The 15,778-nt window shown below is 47.0% G+C and overlaps 1 protein-coding gene across 50 annotated transcripts in view, besides 7 other annotated features; it reads left to right on the forward strand.

Annotated features, from left to right (window-relative positions):
• Positions 5,419-5,578: a silencer, noted in NCBI's record as "silent region_14034". NCBI's record gives its function as "represses an Ori minimal core promoter by ATAC-STARR-seq in GM12878 lymphoblastoid cells {active_cell/tissue: GM12878}" and the evidence as "EXISTENCE:reporter gene assay evidence [ECO:0000049][PMID:35858748]".
• Positions 11,931-12,160: an enhancer, noted in NCBI's record as "active region_19404". NCBI's record gives its function as "activates an Ori minimal core promoter by ATAC-STARR-seq in GM12878 lymphoblastoid cells {active_cell/tissue: GM12878}" and the evidence as "EXISTENCE:reporter gene assay evidence [ECO:0000049][PMID:35858748]".
• Positions 11,931-12,863: a biological region, named in NCBI's record as "H3K27ac-H3K4me1 hESC enhancer GRCh37_chr3:9690821-9691716".
• Positions 11,968-12,863: an enhancer, noted in NCBI's record as "H3K27ac-H3K4me1 hESC enhancer chr3:9690821-9691716 (GRCh37/hg19 assembly coordinates)". NCBI's record gives its function as "activates a minimal SCP1, AML or CMV promoter by ChIP-STARR-seq in primed H9 embryonic stem cells {active_cell/tissue: H9 hESC(primed)}" and the evidence as "EXISTENCE:reporter gene assay evidence [ECO:0000049][PMID:30033119]".
• Positions 12,150-12,319: an enhancer, noted in NCBI's record as "experimental_71463 CRE fragment used in MPRA reporter constructs". NCBI's record gives its function as "activates a minimal promoter by MPRAs in K562 erythroleukemia cells, with activity observed for both the introgressed and non-introgressed 3:9691088 variant alleles {active_cell/tissue: K562}" and the evidence as "EXISTENCE:reporter gene assay evidence [ECO:0000049][PMID:34662402]".
• Positions 12,191-12,300: a silencer, noted in NCBI's record as "silent region_14035". NCBI's record gives its function as "represses an Ori minimal core promoter by ATAC-STARR-seq in GM12878 lymphoblastoid cells {active_cell/tissue: GM12878}" and the evidence as "EXISTENCE:reporter gene assay evidence [ECO:0000049][PMID:35858748]".
• Positions 12,336-15,778, forward strand: part of MTMR14 (myotubularin related protein 14) — a 52,889-nt gene continuing 49,446 nt past the window's right edge. For 45 of the 50 annotated variants that reach the window (NR_174504.1, NR_174503.1, NR_174507.1 and 42 more), the window contains exon 1: positions 12,336-12,573. Coding sequence is in view for 22 of the 50 variants with exons in the window: in NM_001077525.3 (NP_001070993.1) it covers positions 12,415-12,573 (159 nt within the window). In the remaining 28 variants the exon portion in view is untranslated. Of the gene's footprint in view, positions 12,574-13,158; positions 13,361-15,778 lie in introns of those variants that run through there. The other 5 variants (NM_001400518.1, NM_001400521.1, NM_001400526.1 and 2 more) reach the window with 2 other exon arrangements.
• Positions 12,401-12,500: a silencer, noted in NCBI's record as "silent region_14036". NCBI's record gives its function as "represses an Ori minimal core promoter by ATAC-STARR-seq in GM12878 lymphoblastoid cells {active_cell/tissue: GM12878}" and the evidence as "EXISTENCE:reporter gene assay evidence [ECO:0000049][PMID:35858748]".

Consider the following 15,778-nt stretch of genomic DNA (forward strand, 5'->3'; position numbering starts at 1 on the left):
TGCCTCCCGGCTGCATGCCATTCTCCTGCCTCAGCCTCCCAAGTAGCTGGGACTACAGGTGCCTGCCACCACGCCCTGCTAATTTTTGTATTTTCAGTAGAGACGGGGTTTCACTGTGTTAGCCAGGATGGTCTCGATCTCCTGACCTCGTGATCCGCCCATCTCAGTCTCCCAAAGTGCTGGGATTACAGGCATGAGCCACCGCACCCGGTCAATTTTTGTATTTTTAGTAGAGACGGAGTTGTGCCATGTTGGCCAGGCTGGACTTGAACGCCTAGACTTAGGTGTTTCGCCCGCCTCGGCCTCCCAAAGTGGTGGGATTACAGGTGTGAGCCACCATGCCCAGCAATTGAGCAATTTTCAAAAGTCAAAGAAATAGTTTATGACCTTAAAGCATTTAGCAAATCTCATATCTGGCCTTAATCTAGGCCAAATGTCTGAAATTTGAAGACATTTTTATTTTACAAATAATCTTGAAAACTGTCTTTATTTCTAAAAGACTGCTAAAGTAACGTGAACAAAAAGGCATTAAAGTTTCTATTTTTCTGGCCGGGCACGGTGGCTCATGCCTGTAATCACAGCACTTTGGGAGGCTGAGGCTGGTGGATCACCTGATGTCAGGAGTTCGAGACCAACCTGGCTAATATGGTAAAACCCCATCTCTACTAAAAATACAAATATTAGCTGGGCATGGTGGCGGGCACCTGTAATCCCAGCTACTCGGGAGGCTGAGGCAGGAGAATCACTGGAACCCGGGAGGTGGAGGTTGCAGTGAGCCAAGGTCATGCCATTGCACTCCAGCCTGGGTGACAGAACGAGACTCCATCTCAAAAAATATAAAAATAAATAAATAAATACACAGATGGACAGAAAATTCAGCACTTGTAAGATTTTTCCTTTGCCAGTTTCTTAACTGGATTACTGACTTCGGGGTGGAGCCCTTGGAGGAACAGGGCCAGGAAAGCATTCAGTTTCTAGGACCTAATAAGCAGGCACAGCTGGAAGGCAAACACAGATCCCAAAAATTCAGGGTATATACTGGATCCTGGATCCCCAAAAGGAGGGAAATACTATAAGAGAAGACAGTGCAGTGCTTCTGCTGAGCATTTCATTGCAAAACAACCCATAGTAAATTAGCCCATTTTGTAATCAGCCCATCCCTTGTGGGAGTCTCATCTCTCAGTGCAGGTTGGGGATGTTTCCCTATCTTTTAGTGGCCAAGAGTGTGCTTCCCTAATTGAAACATCAGAACGGAACATCCCCCGTAAGTGCCATTAGCCATCCTCAGAAGTATATTTCCTACCTAGTTATTACACACCAAGTTTCTTTCATAATGCAAAGTAATTTCTGATACCCACAAAAGCCAAAACCATGAGCTAATGCAATGCAAAACAGAACAGAGCCTTAGATTTTGAGAAGGATCTATTCTCTTTTAATGTCTGGGGTTCTGTGAGGAAATCTGAGGTTTTTCCCAGAATGGGATCTGTGGTGCCTCCTCTGCTTTTCCCCAGGAGACCCAGGCTGTTAGAATTTATCTTAAGTTCTCTCATGTGGGCATCAAGAGTGACAAAAAGACAAAATGGAGAACAATTCAGTCTCCTGAGAAGAAAAAAACTGTTTTTCAGAAAAACATGATTCAAGAAGAGGAAAAAGATAAATTCCTTTTAAATACATATGGCTTGGTTATCCATTTTTAATTAAGCTGGTTTTAACCACAGAGCTATTTTTTCTAAAAAAAAAAAAATCCTTTTCAATATCTTATTACCAGGGTACCCAATATTTCTGGCTTTTGAATTCTACCACAGGTAACTTCCCACATGAAATTAATAAGTTTTAACTAAGATTATAACTTAACCATGGATGCATAAGGTGTCTCAAAGAGATGGTAAGCCTCTTTCTTTCTTTCTCTTTCTTTCTTTCTTCCTTCCTTCCTCCCTCCCTTCCTTTCTTTCCTTTCTTTCTCTCTTTCTCTCTCTCTCTTTCCTTTCTTTCTCTGTCTCTCTCCTTTCTTTCTCTCTCTATCTCTTTCCTTTCTTTCTCTCTCTCTCTCTCAAGGGTAGTTTGGAGAAAGGAAAATCCAAAACAGAAAATCAGAAGCTATCCATGGAGTTTTAAAAAAAAAATCCTCAATAAATGGCAAAGTTACACAAATAACAAACCAGAAAGGAATCATTCTGGAAGCCAAGAATTGAACCCAGGCCATCATTGTCAAAAGACAAAGCCTTAGCTACTGACCTACATAACATCGAGCAGTTTCTATTATTCTTCCCAGAAGAAGTCTACAGCAGCCAATTTCAAGCTTGGAAAGAGCTTTAGCTGCTCAAGTTAATTTTTTTTTTTTTTTTTTGAGACAGAATCTCTGCCGCCCAGGCTGGAGTGCAGTGGTTCGGTCTCTGCTTACTGCAACCTCCGCCTCTCGGTTCAAGGGATTCTTCTGCCTCAGCCTCCCGAGTAGCTGGGATTACAAGTGCCCACCACCATGTCTAGCAGGGTTTCACTATGTTGGCCAGGCTGGTCTCGAACTCCTGAGCTCAGGTAATCCGACTGCCCCGGCCTCCCAGAGTGCTGGGATTACAGGCATGGGCCACTGTGCCCAGCCTGCTCAAGATAATTTTTAGAGCTATGACGTGAACCCCAAATTTTCCTGTGCTCTGGATGGTGGAAACCAAGAGAACCACAGGGTCACAAGGTTAAGCACTTTTTTTTTTTGGAGATGAAAGTATCCCCACATGGTCACAAGGTTAAGCTCTTTTTTTTTTTTTTTTTTTGGAGACAGAGTCTTACTCTGTTGCCCAGGCTGGAGTGCAGTGGCACGATGTCAGCTCACTGCGACCTCCACCTCCTGGGTTCAAGCGATTCTGGTGCCTCAGCCTCCCGAGTAGCTGGGATTACAGGCGCCTGCCACCATCCCTGGGTAATTTTTGTAGTTTTAGTAGAGACAGGGTTTCACCATGTTGGCCAGGCTGGTCTCAAACTCCTGACCTCAGGTGATCCACCTGCCTGGGCCTCCCAAAGTGCTAGGGTTACAGGCGTGAGCCACCACGCCCAGCCTAAGGTTAAGCTCTTAATGACATAAAACAAGAAAGAGAAATTTCATCTGGTATTGGTTTCAGGGACCCCCAGCAAAGTTTGTAACTGACGAGCCTGCTGGGGTGGCTTGAAAAGTAGGCTTATAGGGATCCTAAGCTCACATTCTATCCTGTGATACCCCTCTCTCCATTACAGAAAGACACATTCTTAGTACAAACTGCACCAGATTTGCTACAGCCTGACTAGTCTCACAAATCCTTTATTTTTCTATTAGTTAAACCCTTGCAGAGGAGACAAATAACGAAGTTTATCGTTTACACACATAGAGAGAGAGAGAGAGAGAGAGAGAGAGAGAGAGAGACCAGAAACTTGGCTGCTAAGAATTATTACCGTTTTTGCTGGCATACCAACTTTCCGGGTCCCCTTTCTCTGCTGCAGCTTCCAGAAGAACGAAGCGGCTTTTGATGACCCTCTTCACTATGCCATAGCTGGTGGGGGGGCCAAGCCCTGTTACAAAAGAAAATCATCCTTTTCTGCTTTATTGAACCATAGGCAAAAGATTCGCCATTTTGCAAGATGTCCAACAGGCTGCACGGGAAACCAAATTAATATTTTCCATCCCAGCAAAATATACATAATACAACAGACACTAGTCACCTCTTTCAGCACCCAATATCATCCTGGCAAAATTCAAACTTTCTCCTGTTGGTCCCTATTGTTTTTGATCCACTCCTGGTGGGGAGGGATGAGCTCCGAAAGGTAATTCACAATGGGTGATCTCTGGGCAAGGTGAAGAGTGGATAGTCACACTGAGACAGGCCTGTTGAGCTTTCTCCAGGGCTCAATGAATGTTAACAGACTAATAGGAGGGTTCTCTGAGTTAGGCCTGCTGGACTTCCGTCAGCCACTCCTTCTGAGATGCCCTCCACACATACAAACACACACATAAAGACGAGACAGGCAGAAGGCCTTCCAAATCAGATCCCTAACCAAGAACTCCAAGAGTATCCCTTCCAAACTATTCTCCTATTCTCCATCTGAGAAATCTCCCCAAAGTCTTCCTGATTGAGAAGTCTCCCGAACCAAGTCTCTTCCTACTAGTTAGGAAGAGCCAACTGAAACCCCCACTAGGAGCCAAACCAAGACAGACACCCCACAATGGGGCAACAGACAAACTGAGACCCCTGAGGGAGCCAAACTGAGACAGACTGTCTGTGGTGGAGCTATTAGACAAACAAGACACCCTGCAATGGGACTACAGACACACCATGATGAGGCTACAGACAGACACCTTGTGATAGGGCTACAGTTATGGAACGTCTCCCCAGGACTGTTTCTCCATTGCAATTAAATCCATGTAGGCCGGGCATGGTGGCTCACGCCTGTAATCCCAGCACTTTGGGAGGCCGAGATGGGCGGATCACGAGGTCAGGAGATCGAGGCCATCCTGGCTAACACGGTGAAACCCCGTCTCTACTAAAAAATACAAAAAAAATTAGCTGGGCGTGGTGGCGGGCGCCTGTAGTCCCGGGTACTCAGGAGGCTGAGGCAGGAGAATGGCGTGAACCTGGAGTCAAGGCGGAGCTTGCAATAAGCCAAGATCACGCCACTGCACTCTAGCCTGGGCCACAGTACAAGACTCTGTCTCAAAAAAAAAAAAAAAATTCCATGCATATTGGGTTGTCAGTGCCCCACAAGTGGAGAGAGTACCAGAGTCAACCCCTAGTCCAAGAGAACTAGGTGGCCCCTTTGGGTGGCCTCTGGATCCATCGCTGGAGAGGGGGCTACTGAACCACAGGCAGGTAGTCACAAGGGCAATCTCAGACAAGTCCCCAAATTTGTAACTGTCCAATGGGTTCACCTTGCCTGCTGCCTAGATGGAACTGATTTATCAAGATAGGGGATCCGGGTGCAGTGGTTCATGCCTGTAATCCCAGCACTTTGGGAGGCTGAGGCAGGCAAATCACCTGAGGTCGGAAGTTCGAGACCAGCCTAACCAACATGGAGAAACCCTGTCTCTACTAAAAATACAAAATTAGCCGGGCGTGGTGGCAAATGCCTGTAATCCCAGCTACTCGGGAGGCTGAGGCGGGAGAATAGCTTGAACCCAGGAGGCGGAGGTTGTGGTGAGCCAAGATCGCGCCATTGCACACCAGCCTGGGCAACAACAGTGAAACTCCGTAGGCTGGGCGCACTGGCTCACACCTGTGATCCCAGCACTTTGGGAGGCCGAGGTGGGCGGATCACGAGGTCAGGAGATCGAGACCATCCTGGCTAACATGGTGAAACCCCGTCTCTACTAAAAATACAAAAAAAAATTAGCCAGGTGTGGTGGCAGGCACCTGTAGTCCCAACTACTCGGGAGGCTGAGGCAGGAGAATGGCGTGAACCCGGGAGGCGGAGCTTGCAGTGAGCGGGGATCGCGCCACTGCACTCCAGCCTGGGCGGCAGAGCGAGACTCCGTCTCAAAAAAAAAAAAAAAAAAAAAGAGTGAAACTCCGCCTCAAGAAAAAAAAAAGGGAACTGCGGAAAGAATAATTCACACAGAGGCTGCTGTGCGGGAGAACATAGTTTTATTATTACTCAAATCAGCTCCCTAAGCATTCTGGGATCAGAGTGTTTAAGGACAACTTGGTAGGTGGGGAAAACCAGTGAGCCAGGAGCGCTGATTGGTCAGGTCAGAGATGAACTCATAGGGAGTCTTCTTGTGCTGAGTAATTTCCTGGGTGGGGGCCACAAGGTCAGATAAGCTAGTTTATCGATCTGGGTGGTACCAGCTGATCCATCAAGTGCAGGGTCTGCAAAGTATCTCAAACACTGGTCTTAGGTTTACAATAGTGATATCCCCAGGAGCAATTTGGGGAAGGTCAGAGTCTTGTAGCCTCCAGCTGCATCACTCCTAAACCATAACTTCTAATCTTAGGGCTAATTTATTAAGTCCTACAATGGCAGTCTAGTCCCCAGGCAAGAAGGGGGTTTGTTTCAGGAAAGGGCTGTTATCATCTTTGTTTTAAACTATAAACTATAAACTAAGTTCCTCCCAAAGTTAGTTCAGCCTATGCCCAGGAGTGAATAAGGCCAGCTTAGAGGTTAAAAGCAAGATGGGGGGCAAGGACTTCATGACTAAAACACCAAAAGCAATGGCAGCAAAAGCCAACATAGACAAATGGGATCTAATTAAACTAAAGAGCTTCTCCACAGCAAAATAAACTATCATCAGAGTGAACAGGCAACCTAGAGAATGGGAGAAAAGTTGTGCAATCTATCCATCTGACAAAGGGCTAATATCCAGAATCTACAAAGAACTTAAACAAATTTACAAGAAAAAAACAAACAACCCCATCAAAAAGTGGGCAAAGGAGATGAACAGACACTTCTCAAAAGAAAACATTTATGCAGCCAACAGACATGAAAAAATGCTCATCATCACTGGCCATCAGAGAAATGCAAATTGAAACCACCATGAGATACCATCTCACGTCAGTTAGAATGGCGGTCATTAAAAAGTCAGGAAACAACGGATGCTGGAGAGAATGTGGAGAAATAGGAATGCTTTTACACTGTTGGTGGGAGTGTAAATTAGTTCAACCACTGTAGAAGACAGTGTGGCGATCCCTCAAGGATCTAGAACTAGAAATACCATTTGACCCAGCAATCACATTACTGGGTATATACCCAAAGGATTATAAATCATGCTACTATGAAGACACATGCACATGTATGTTTATTAAGGCACTATTCACAATAGCAAAGACTTGGAACCAACCCAAATGTCCATCAATAATAGACTGGATAAAGAAAATGTGGCACATATACACCATTAAATTCTATGCAGCCATTAAAAAGGATGAGTTAATGTTCTTTGCAGGGACATGGATGAAGCTGGAAACCATCATTTTCAGCAAAATATCACAAGGACAGAAAACCAACACTGCATGTTCTCACTCATAAGTGGGAGCTGAACAATGAGAACACATGGACACAGGAAGGGGAACATCACACACTGGGGCCTGTTGTGGGGTGGGTGGCTGGGAAAGGGATAGCATTAGGAGAAATACCTAATGTAAATGACGAGTTGATGGGTGCAGCAAAACAACATGGCACTTGTATACCTATGTAACAAACCTGCATGTTGTGCACATGTACCCTAGATCTTAGAGTGTAATAATAAAAAAATTAAAAAAAAAAAAAAAGAAGCAAGATGGAGTTGGTTAGGTCAAATCTCTTTCACTGTCTGTTACAATTTTGTAACGGCGATTTCAAAAGAACTCATGTCCAGAATATTCAAACCTCTTCTATAAATTTGTAATAAAAATACAGACAACCCACTAGAAAAATGGGCAAAAGATGTTAACAAGCACTACCCAAGAGCATATTCAAATGAGCAATAAATATGCGAAAAGGTGATCAACTTCATTAATCAGGGAAATGCAAATTAAAACCAAAATTAGCTACGCTTAAAGAAGCTAGACACAGAATACACAGGGTATAATTCCATTTATAGGAAGGCTAGTGACAGAAAATAAATCAGTTGTTGCCTGGGGCTGGGGGTAGGGGTGGAAAGGACTGAGATGGGACTCAAGGGAACTTTCTGGAGGTGATATATATGTTCAACATCTTAATTACACTGGTGATTTTATAATTTGGCAATGCCCATCAAAATGTACAATTAAAGAGGATTAATTTTATTCTATGTACTCATACCTCAATAAAATTGATTTTTTAAAAGCACAATAGAGCTGGGCACATAGTCTAAAAGCACAAGTAGAGCAGTGGCTCATACTTGTAACCCTAGCACTTTGGGAGGCTGAGGTGGGAGGTTCACTTGAGCCCAGGAGTTCAAGATCAGACTGGGCAACATAGCAAGACCTTGTCTCTACAGATAATTAAAAAATTAGTTGGGTGCGGTGGCACATGTCTGTGGTTCCAGCTACTCAGGAAGCTCAGGTGGGAGAATTGCTTGGGCCCAGGGGTGAAGGCTGCAGTGAGCCGTGATCAAACCACTGCACTCCAGCCTGGGGGAGAGAGCAAGCCCCTGTCTCAACAACAACAACAACAACAACAACAACAACAACGAAAGCACAATAAGATACCACTACATTCTTCCAAAGTATAAACTAGTATGAGGAAAAAAACAAAAGAAATACCAGTACATTCTCACCAGAAAAACTAAAATAAAAAAAAGTATTGACAAGGATGCAGAGCAACTGGAACTCTGCTGACTTGCAGGAGGCAATGTAAATGTCACGGGAAAACTCTTAGAAAGTTACACTTTGACCATTGTCAAAAGACAGAATTGCAACTTAAACATCTTAATTGGCTTTATTTTTATTTTATTTTATTATTTTTTTTGAGTTGGAGTCTCCTTCTGTCACCCAGACCGGAGTGCAGTGGCATGATCTCTGCTCACTGCAACCTCTGCCTCCTGGGTTCAAGTGATTCTCCTGCCTCAGCCTCCCGAGTAGCTGGGATTACAGGCATTCGCCACCATGCCCGGCTAATTTTTTTTTGAGACAAAGTCTCGCTCTTGTCCCCCAGGCTGGAGTGCAATGGCGTGATCTCAGCTCACTGCAACCTCTGCCTCCCAGGTTCAAGGGATTTTCCTGCCTCGGTCCCACAGGTAGCTGGGATTACAGGTGCCTGCCACCACGCCCAGCTAATATTTATATTTTTAGTAGAGACGGGGTTTCACCATGTTGGGCAGGCTGGTCTAGAACTCCTGACCTCAGGTGATCCAACCATCTTGGCCTCCCAAAGTGCTGGGATTACAGGCGTGAGCCACTGCGCCCGGCCTAATTTTGTATTTTTAGTAGAGATGGGGTTTCTCCACATCGGTCAGGCTGGTCTTGAACTCCCGACCTCAGGTGATCCGCCCGCATCCGCCTCCCTAAGTGCTGGGATTACGGGTGTGAGCCATTGCGTTTATAAACAGATAAGGGCTGAAGAAAGCACAAACAACACAAAGTGGATTGGTCATTTCTTTTTTTTTTTTTTTTTTGAGACGGAGTCTTGCTTTGTCACCCACGCTGGAGTGCAGTGGCGCCATCCTAGCTCACTGCAAGCTCCACCTCCGGGGTTCACGCCATTCTCCTGCCTCCGCCTTCCGAGTAGCTGGGACTACAGGCGCCCGCCACCACACCCAGCTGTTTTTTTGTATTTTTTTTTTTTTAGTAGAGATGGTGTTTCACCATGTTAGCCAGGATGGTCTTGATCTCCTGACCTCGTGATCCGCCCGCCTCGGCCTTCCAAAGTGCTGGGATTACAAGCGTGAGCCACCACGCCCGGCCGGATTGGTCATTTCAAAGTAACTTTCCCTGTAGGGCAGGAACAAGGAAACAGAACAATAGAAAAATAACGGATTGGGCCAGACGCCGTGGCTCATGCCTGTAATCCTACCACTTTGGGAGGCTGAGGTGGGTGGATCATCTGAGGTCAGGAGTTTGAGACCAGTCTGGTCAACATGGCGAAACCCCGTCTCTGCTAAAAATACAAAAAAATTAGCCGGGTGTGTTGGCGCACACCTGTAATCCCAGCTACTCTGGAAACTGAGACAGGAGAATTGCTCGAACCCGGGAGGTAGAGGTTACAGTGAGCCGAGATGGCACCACTGCACCACTGCACTCCAGCCTGGGTGACAGAACAGCGGGAACTCGTCTCAAAAAAAAAGAAGAAGAAGAAGAAGAAAAATAATGGATTGATTAACATCAGGTTACTTTTGTTGTAAGGATTAAGGGCAGAGGAAAGTTCATTATCATGCTTATTGAAAGTGGCCTGTTTGGGGAATATCTATTATCTCTCTGGATTTCTCTGAAGGTCAGATAATTTAGTTTCAGCTTGGTAAGATGTAAGTTTAGTAGGAATTACTCCATTTTGGTTCTTAGTCTTGTTTGTTAGGATCTAGTGCGGGTGCTTTGTCCAAAATAATGGCCTATAATTTTTTTCTTTTTTTTTTTTTTTTTTAAGGCAGAGTCTCAAGAGTCTCGCTCTGTCACCCAGACTGGAGTACAGTTTCATGATCACAGCTCATTGCAGCCTCAACCTCCCTGGCTCAAGGGATCCTCTCCCACCTCAGCCTCCCAAGTAGCCTCTCAATGTGCGCCACCACACCTGGTTGATTTTCTTGTAGAGATGGGGGTCTCACCGTGTTGCCCAGGCTCGTCTCGAACTCCTGGGCTCAGGTAATCAGTTTACCTTGGCCTTCCAAAGTGCTGGGATTACAGGCATGAGCCACCATGCCCGGCCTGTAATTTTTCTTTAACACCATATAATCCAGTCATTTCATTCCTTGGTGTTTAAGACAAATGCGTATATAGATTTGTCAGAAAATATCTAGTAGGCCAGGAGTAGTGGCTCAAACCTGTAATCCCAGCACTTTGGGTGGCAGACGTGGGAGGATTGCTTGAGCCCAGGAGTTTGAGACTCGCCTGGACAACATGGTGAGACTCGGTATCTACAAAAAAATTTAAAAAGTAGCTGGGTGTGGTGGCACATGCCTGTAGTCACAGCTACTTGGGAGGCTGAGGCAGGAGGATTGCTTGAGGCCAGTAGTTGGAGGCTGCAGTGAGCCACGATCATGCCACTGTACTCCAGCTTAGGCAACAAGAGTGAAACCGTTTCTAAAAAAAAAAAAAAAAAAAAAATTAAATTAAATTAAAAACCAATCTACCGTATTAAAACTCTAGAAGCCAGGATAGTGATTAACTGGGGGTGGGAGGAGTTGGGGGGGCAGGGTGGTGGGTGGTTGTTGGTGAGTGGGTAGTGACTGAAAGTGGTCAGGAGGAGGGTTCCGGGGCGCTGGTGTACATATCATACTTCTATTAAAAGTTTAACAAAAACGAATTACTTTCATTCAGACTGGGTATTAGACCACATTAAGGAATATTGTTAATTTTCTTAGGCATGTTAATAGCCTTATATTTTTTATGTATTTTTTTTTTGAAGTACAAATCTGTTGTGATAAATGCTTAAGTATTCACAGCTGAAATAATGTGATGTCTGGGATTTGCTTTAAAATAATTCCCTGGATGGGAAGGGACTGCTTAAACAGGATAGATAAGCAGATGTTGATTATTGTTCAAAACCAGTTAATGGGTACATGAGGGTTCATTATACTATTGTCTCCACTTTTGCGAATGTCTGAAATATTCTAATAATAATAATAATGAGAGGCTTCTCATCACAGAATTTCAAGGCAGTCGCTTCACCTCCCTGACTCCCAGTTTCTACCTCAATAAAATAGGGCTGATGATATAATGCACTGTACTCACAGGGATGTTGTGAGCAGCAGGGGGAGAAAGGGTTTTATGAAATGTTGTGTTTTTGTTTTTGTTTTAGAGACGGAGTCTCATTCTGTCACCCAGGCTGGAGTGCAGTGGCGCGATCTCGGCTCACTCTCCGCCTCCCGGGTTCAAGCAATTCTCCTGCCTCAGCCTCCCGAGTAGCTGGGATTACAGGCACCTGCCACCACGCGCGGCTAATTTTTGTATTTTTAGTAGAGACGGGGTTTCACTGCGTTGATCAGGCTGGTCTCGAATGCCTCACTTCATAATCCGCCTGCCTCGGCCTACCAAAGTGCTGGGATTACAGGCGTGAGACACCGCGGCCGGCTGAAATGTTTTAATATTGGTAACCACTGCCATTATGGTTTCTAGTACTAATTTGTTGCCTCCAAGCGTTCTCTCCTCCTCGCCCTGTAATTTTTTTTTTTTCTTAAGACAGAGTATTGCTCTGTCACCCAGGCTGGAGTGTAGTGGTTCGATTTCGGCTCATTGCAACCTCAGCCTCATGGGTTCAAGCGATTCTCCTGCCTCAGCCTCCCAAGTAGTTGGGATTACAGGTGGGTGTCACCATGCCCGGCTAATTTTTTTATTTTTAGTAGAGATGCGGTTTCACCATTTTGGCAGCCTGGTCTCGAACTCTTGGCCTCAAGTGATCCGCCCGCCTCGGCCCCCCAAAGTGCTGGGATGACAGGTGTGAGCCACCACGCTCGGCTTCCCTGTAATTGTTGATTCCACTTTTCCTCTGGTTCTTTTCAATGGTTCCTTCCTGCTACCCCCCTCCCCCGGCAGCCCAATGGTTGAGCCCGGCTTCCCCGGGGGAAACCCCTTGGGGCGGATCACGCGGTATCAGCCAGTGGCCTCCCTGGTGGATAGAAGGATCGCTCTGCGCCGGGGGCGGGCCAGTAATCGTAGGCGGGGCGCGGGTCCAGAGCTCCGATTGGCCAGAGTCGGAGTAAACATCCGGCGGGACGGGGCGGGGCCGGAAGTGGAAGTGGAAGTAGAAGGCGGTGGCTGAGGCGGTTCCGGAGGTTCTAGTGTCGGAGTTGGGTGCAGGCAGGTGCCATGGGCCCGCTTGAGGCACACTGAGGGGACGCGGGGCTGGGCCATGGCCGGCGCTCGGGCCGCCGCCGCCGCTGCCTCGGCGGGGTCCTCGGCCTCTTCAGGCAACCAGCCGCCTCAGGAGCTGGGGCTTGGGGAGCTGCTGGAGGAGTTCTCCCGGACTCAGTACCGGGCCAAGGATGGCAGCGGGACCGGCGGCTCTAAGGTGAGATTGGAGGTGCGATGAGCTGGGGAAGGCTCCTAACTTGGGAAGTTACAGAGGAAAGGCTGAGGCCAGGGGTCAGAAAAAGGTAGGAGTGGTACCTCGCCGCTGAGGAAGAGGAGAGAGAGAGAGGAGTTCTCCAGGGTCTGTATCCGGAGTATAAGAGTCGGTCTTGACAACCATAAAAGGAGGAACTGGGGTCAGAATGAGCCCAGCAAAGAGGTCCTTCTTGTTTGAGAAGGGGTCTGGAGGTGAGAGATCAAGCTGAGGGGCCAGGTTCAAAGATCAGAGAGGAGGACCTAAGGAAGGTCTATTCCCTGCTTCAGGTGCCGTAGGATGAGTTGTGTCAGGGAAAAAGCCCCAAGAAAAAGCTAAGAAAAATAGGGAGACGATTCCTCGGGGTCAGAGGTCAGAATGGAGCCAGGAGGTGAACCCAGTGTGCTGCCCCCTTATAAGGTCTCAGCATGACTTAGGCCCATCCCTTTCCTTCCCCTATAGAGCAGGAAGACAACCCACACTCCCTTTCAGTTCCTTTATCTAAAGCAGGTCTCCGTTCCTCTTTTTGCTCCCTTTGGGATTTCCACCCAGTCGTCTTATCGCCAGACCTGGAGGGCTTCCTGTCAGCTCAGGCCATCCCCACCCTAAGCACTGGCTGGCAGTGCGGTGGGAATCTTGCCGACCCTGCCATCTCATTCCCCCACGTGGTTTTGGCAGCTTTAGCACCAAGTTTTCCAGTGGAATTCTGTTCCATCCTGCACCACAGAACTCTGATTTGACCTCAGAGATTACCGTGAGTTGCTATTCTGTAGTTGGCATCTTGTAGTCTCTGAAGTAACCCAGGGAAGACTTCAGTAAGGATTGGACTTCCTCACTCTCCAAATGGCCAAGTAATTTTTCCAAGTATAGTCTGGGGACCACCTGTTTAATGATCATCTGGGGTACTTTTAAAATTTGTGCTTATGGGATACTTTGTGAAAACAGAGATTCCTTAGTCCCACCCAGTCCTACCAAGTCAGAATTTCTGGGGGTGGGATCCTGGAATTTGCTTTTTTTTTTTTTTTCTTTTGAGAAGGAGTCTCGCTTTGTCGCCTAGGCTGGAGTGCAGTGGCGCAATCTCAGCTTACTGCATCCTCCGCCTCCCCAGTTCAAGCAATTCTCCCTGCCTCAACTTCCCAAGTAGCTGGGATTACAGGACCCCACCACCACGCCCAGCTAATTATTGTAGTTTTTAGTAGAGATGGAGTTTCCCCAGGTTGGCCAGGCTGGTCTTGAACTCCTGAGCTCAGGTGATCCGCCTACCTCAGCCTCCCAAAGTGCTGGGATACAGGCGTGAGCCACCGCGCCTGGCTTTTTTGTTTGTTTGTTTTTGTTTTTTGTGTTGAGACAGGGTCTCGCTCTGCTGCCCAGGCTGGATTGCAGTGGTGCAACCATGACTTACTGCAGCCTCGAAATCCTGGGTTTGAGCGATCCTCCCACTTAAGCCTGCCAAGCACCTGGGACCACAGGTACACACCACCATGCCTGGCTAATTTTTCTTTATTTTCCTAGAGACATGGTCTCGCTATATTGCCCTGGCTGGTCTCAAACTCCTAAGCTCAAGCAATCCTCCCACCTCAGCCCCCCAAAATGCTGGGATTACAGGCGTGAGCCGCCACACCTGGCCAGTAAGGGTCTTTTGAGTGGCTGTAGGTCATTGGTTTTTCTGGACCCCTCTTCCAACTTACATGACCCTGAAGATTAGGGTTAGCATAAGTTACACCTCATATTGGCTGCGGCTGGCCTTAATTATCTCTCCAGGCCTTCTGATCTCCTGCAAACTTAGATGTATATATATTTATATGTATTTATAACAATTCAGGCAGAACAGGGAGTTAGATCTGTAACTGAACAATCGATTGAGATAACTCACTACCTTTGGACTAACTTCTTGCAAACTTTTTTTTTCAGAAGGAGTCTCCCTCTGTCACCCAGGCTGGAGTGCAGTGGTGCGATCTTGGCTCGCTGCAACTTCCACCTCCTGGATTCAAGCGATCCTCCTGCTTCAGCCTCCCTAGTAGCTGGGACTACAGGCATGCACCATCATGCCTGGCTAATTTTTTTTTTTTTTTTTGAGATGGCGTCTCACTCTGTCGCCCAGGCTGGAATGCAATGGCGTGATCTCGGCTCACTGCAACCTCCGCCTCCTGGGTTCAAGCGATTCTCCTGCTTCAGCCTCCCCAGTAGGTGGGAGTACAGGCGCCCGCCACCATGCCCAGCTAATTTTTATATTTTTAATAGAGATGGGGTTTCACCATGTTGGCCAGGATTATCTCAATCTCTTGAACTCGTGATCTGCCCGCCTTGGCCTCCCAAACTGCTGGGATTACAGGCATGAGCCACTGCACCCAGCCTAATTTTTGTATTTTTAGTAGAGAAAGGGTTTCACCTGTTGGCCAGGCTGGTCTCAAGCTCCTGATCAGAAGTGATCTGCCCTCCTCGGTGCCTCCCAAAGTGCTGGGATTATAGGCGTGAGCCACCATGCCTGGCCCTCTTGCAAACTTCTTGATGTTACAGTTCTTATGCCTTTTTTCTGTTGTGTTTTTCTCTGAACTGTGATCAAAATAAGTAATTTTAGGGGGAGCTGTTTCTTCTATTTCACCAGCAAGTTGTGTATAAAGAGACTTTGCAGCTTTTACTGGTTGCATGGAATAGAGCTTGTAGGTACTAGTCTATGGCTAAAGAATGGGGAAGAGGGCCAGTACACTGGCTCACGCGTGTAATCCTAGCACTTTGGGAGGCCAAGGCAGGTAGACTGCTTCAGCCCAGGAGTTCGAGAGCAGCCTGGAAACATGAACCCCATCTCTATTAAAAATTTTTTGTTGGCTGGGCGTGGTGGCTCACCCAGGAGGCAGAGGTTGCAGTGAGCAGAGATCACACCATTGCACTCTAGCCTGGGTGACAGAGCAAGACTCTTTCTCAAAAAAAAAAAAAAGGAATGGGGAAGAGGCCAGGCATGGTGGCTCACACCTGGGAGGCTGAGGCGGGCGGATCACTTGAGATCAGGAGTTCAAGACCAGCCTGGCCAGCATGGTGAAACCCCATCTCTACTAAAAATATGAAAATTAGCCAAATATGCTCACTTGAACCCAGGAGGCTGAGGTTGCAGTGAGCTGAGATCGTGCCACTGCACTCCAGCTTGGATGACAGAGTGAGACTGTGTCTTTTAAAA

This window comes from Homo sapiens, chromosome 3 (assembly GCF_000001405.40).
Source record: "Homo sapiens chromosome 3, GRCh38.p14 Primary Assembly".
In the NCBI taxonomy this organism is placed as follows: Eukaryota; Metazoa; Chordata; class Mammalia; order Primates; family Hominidae; genus Homo; species Homo sapiens.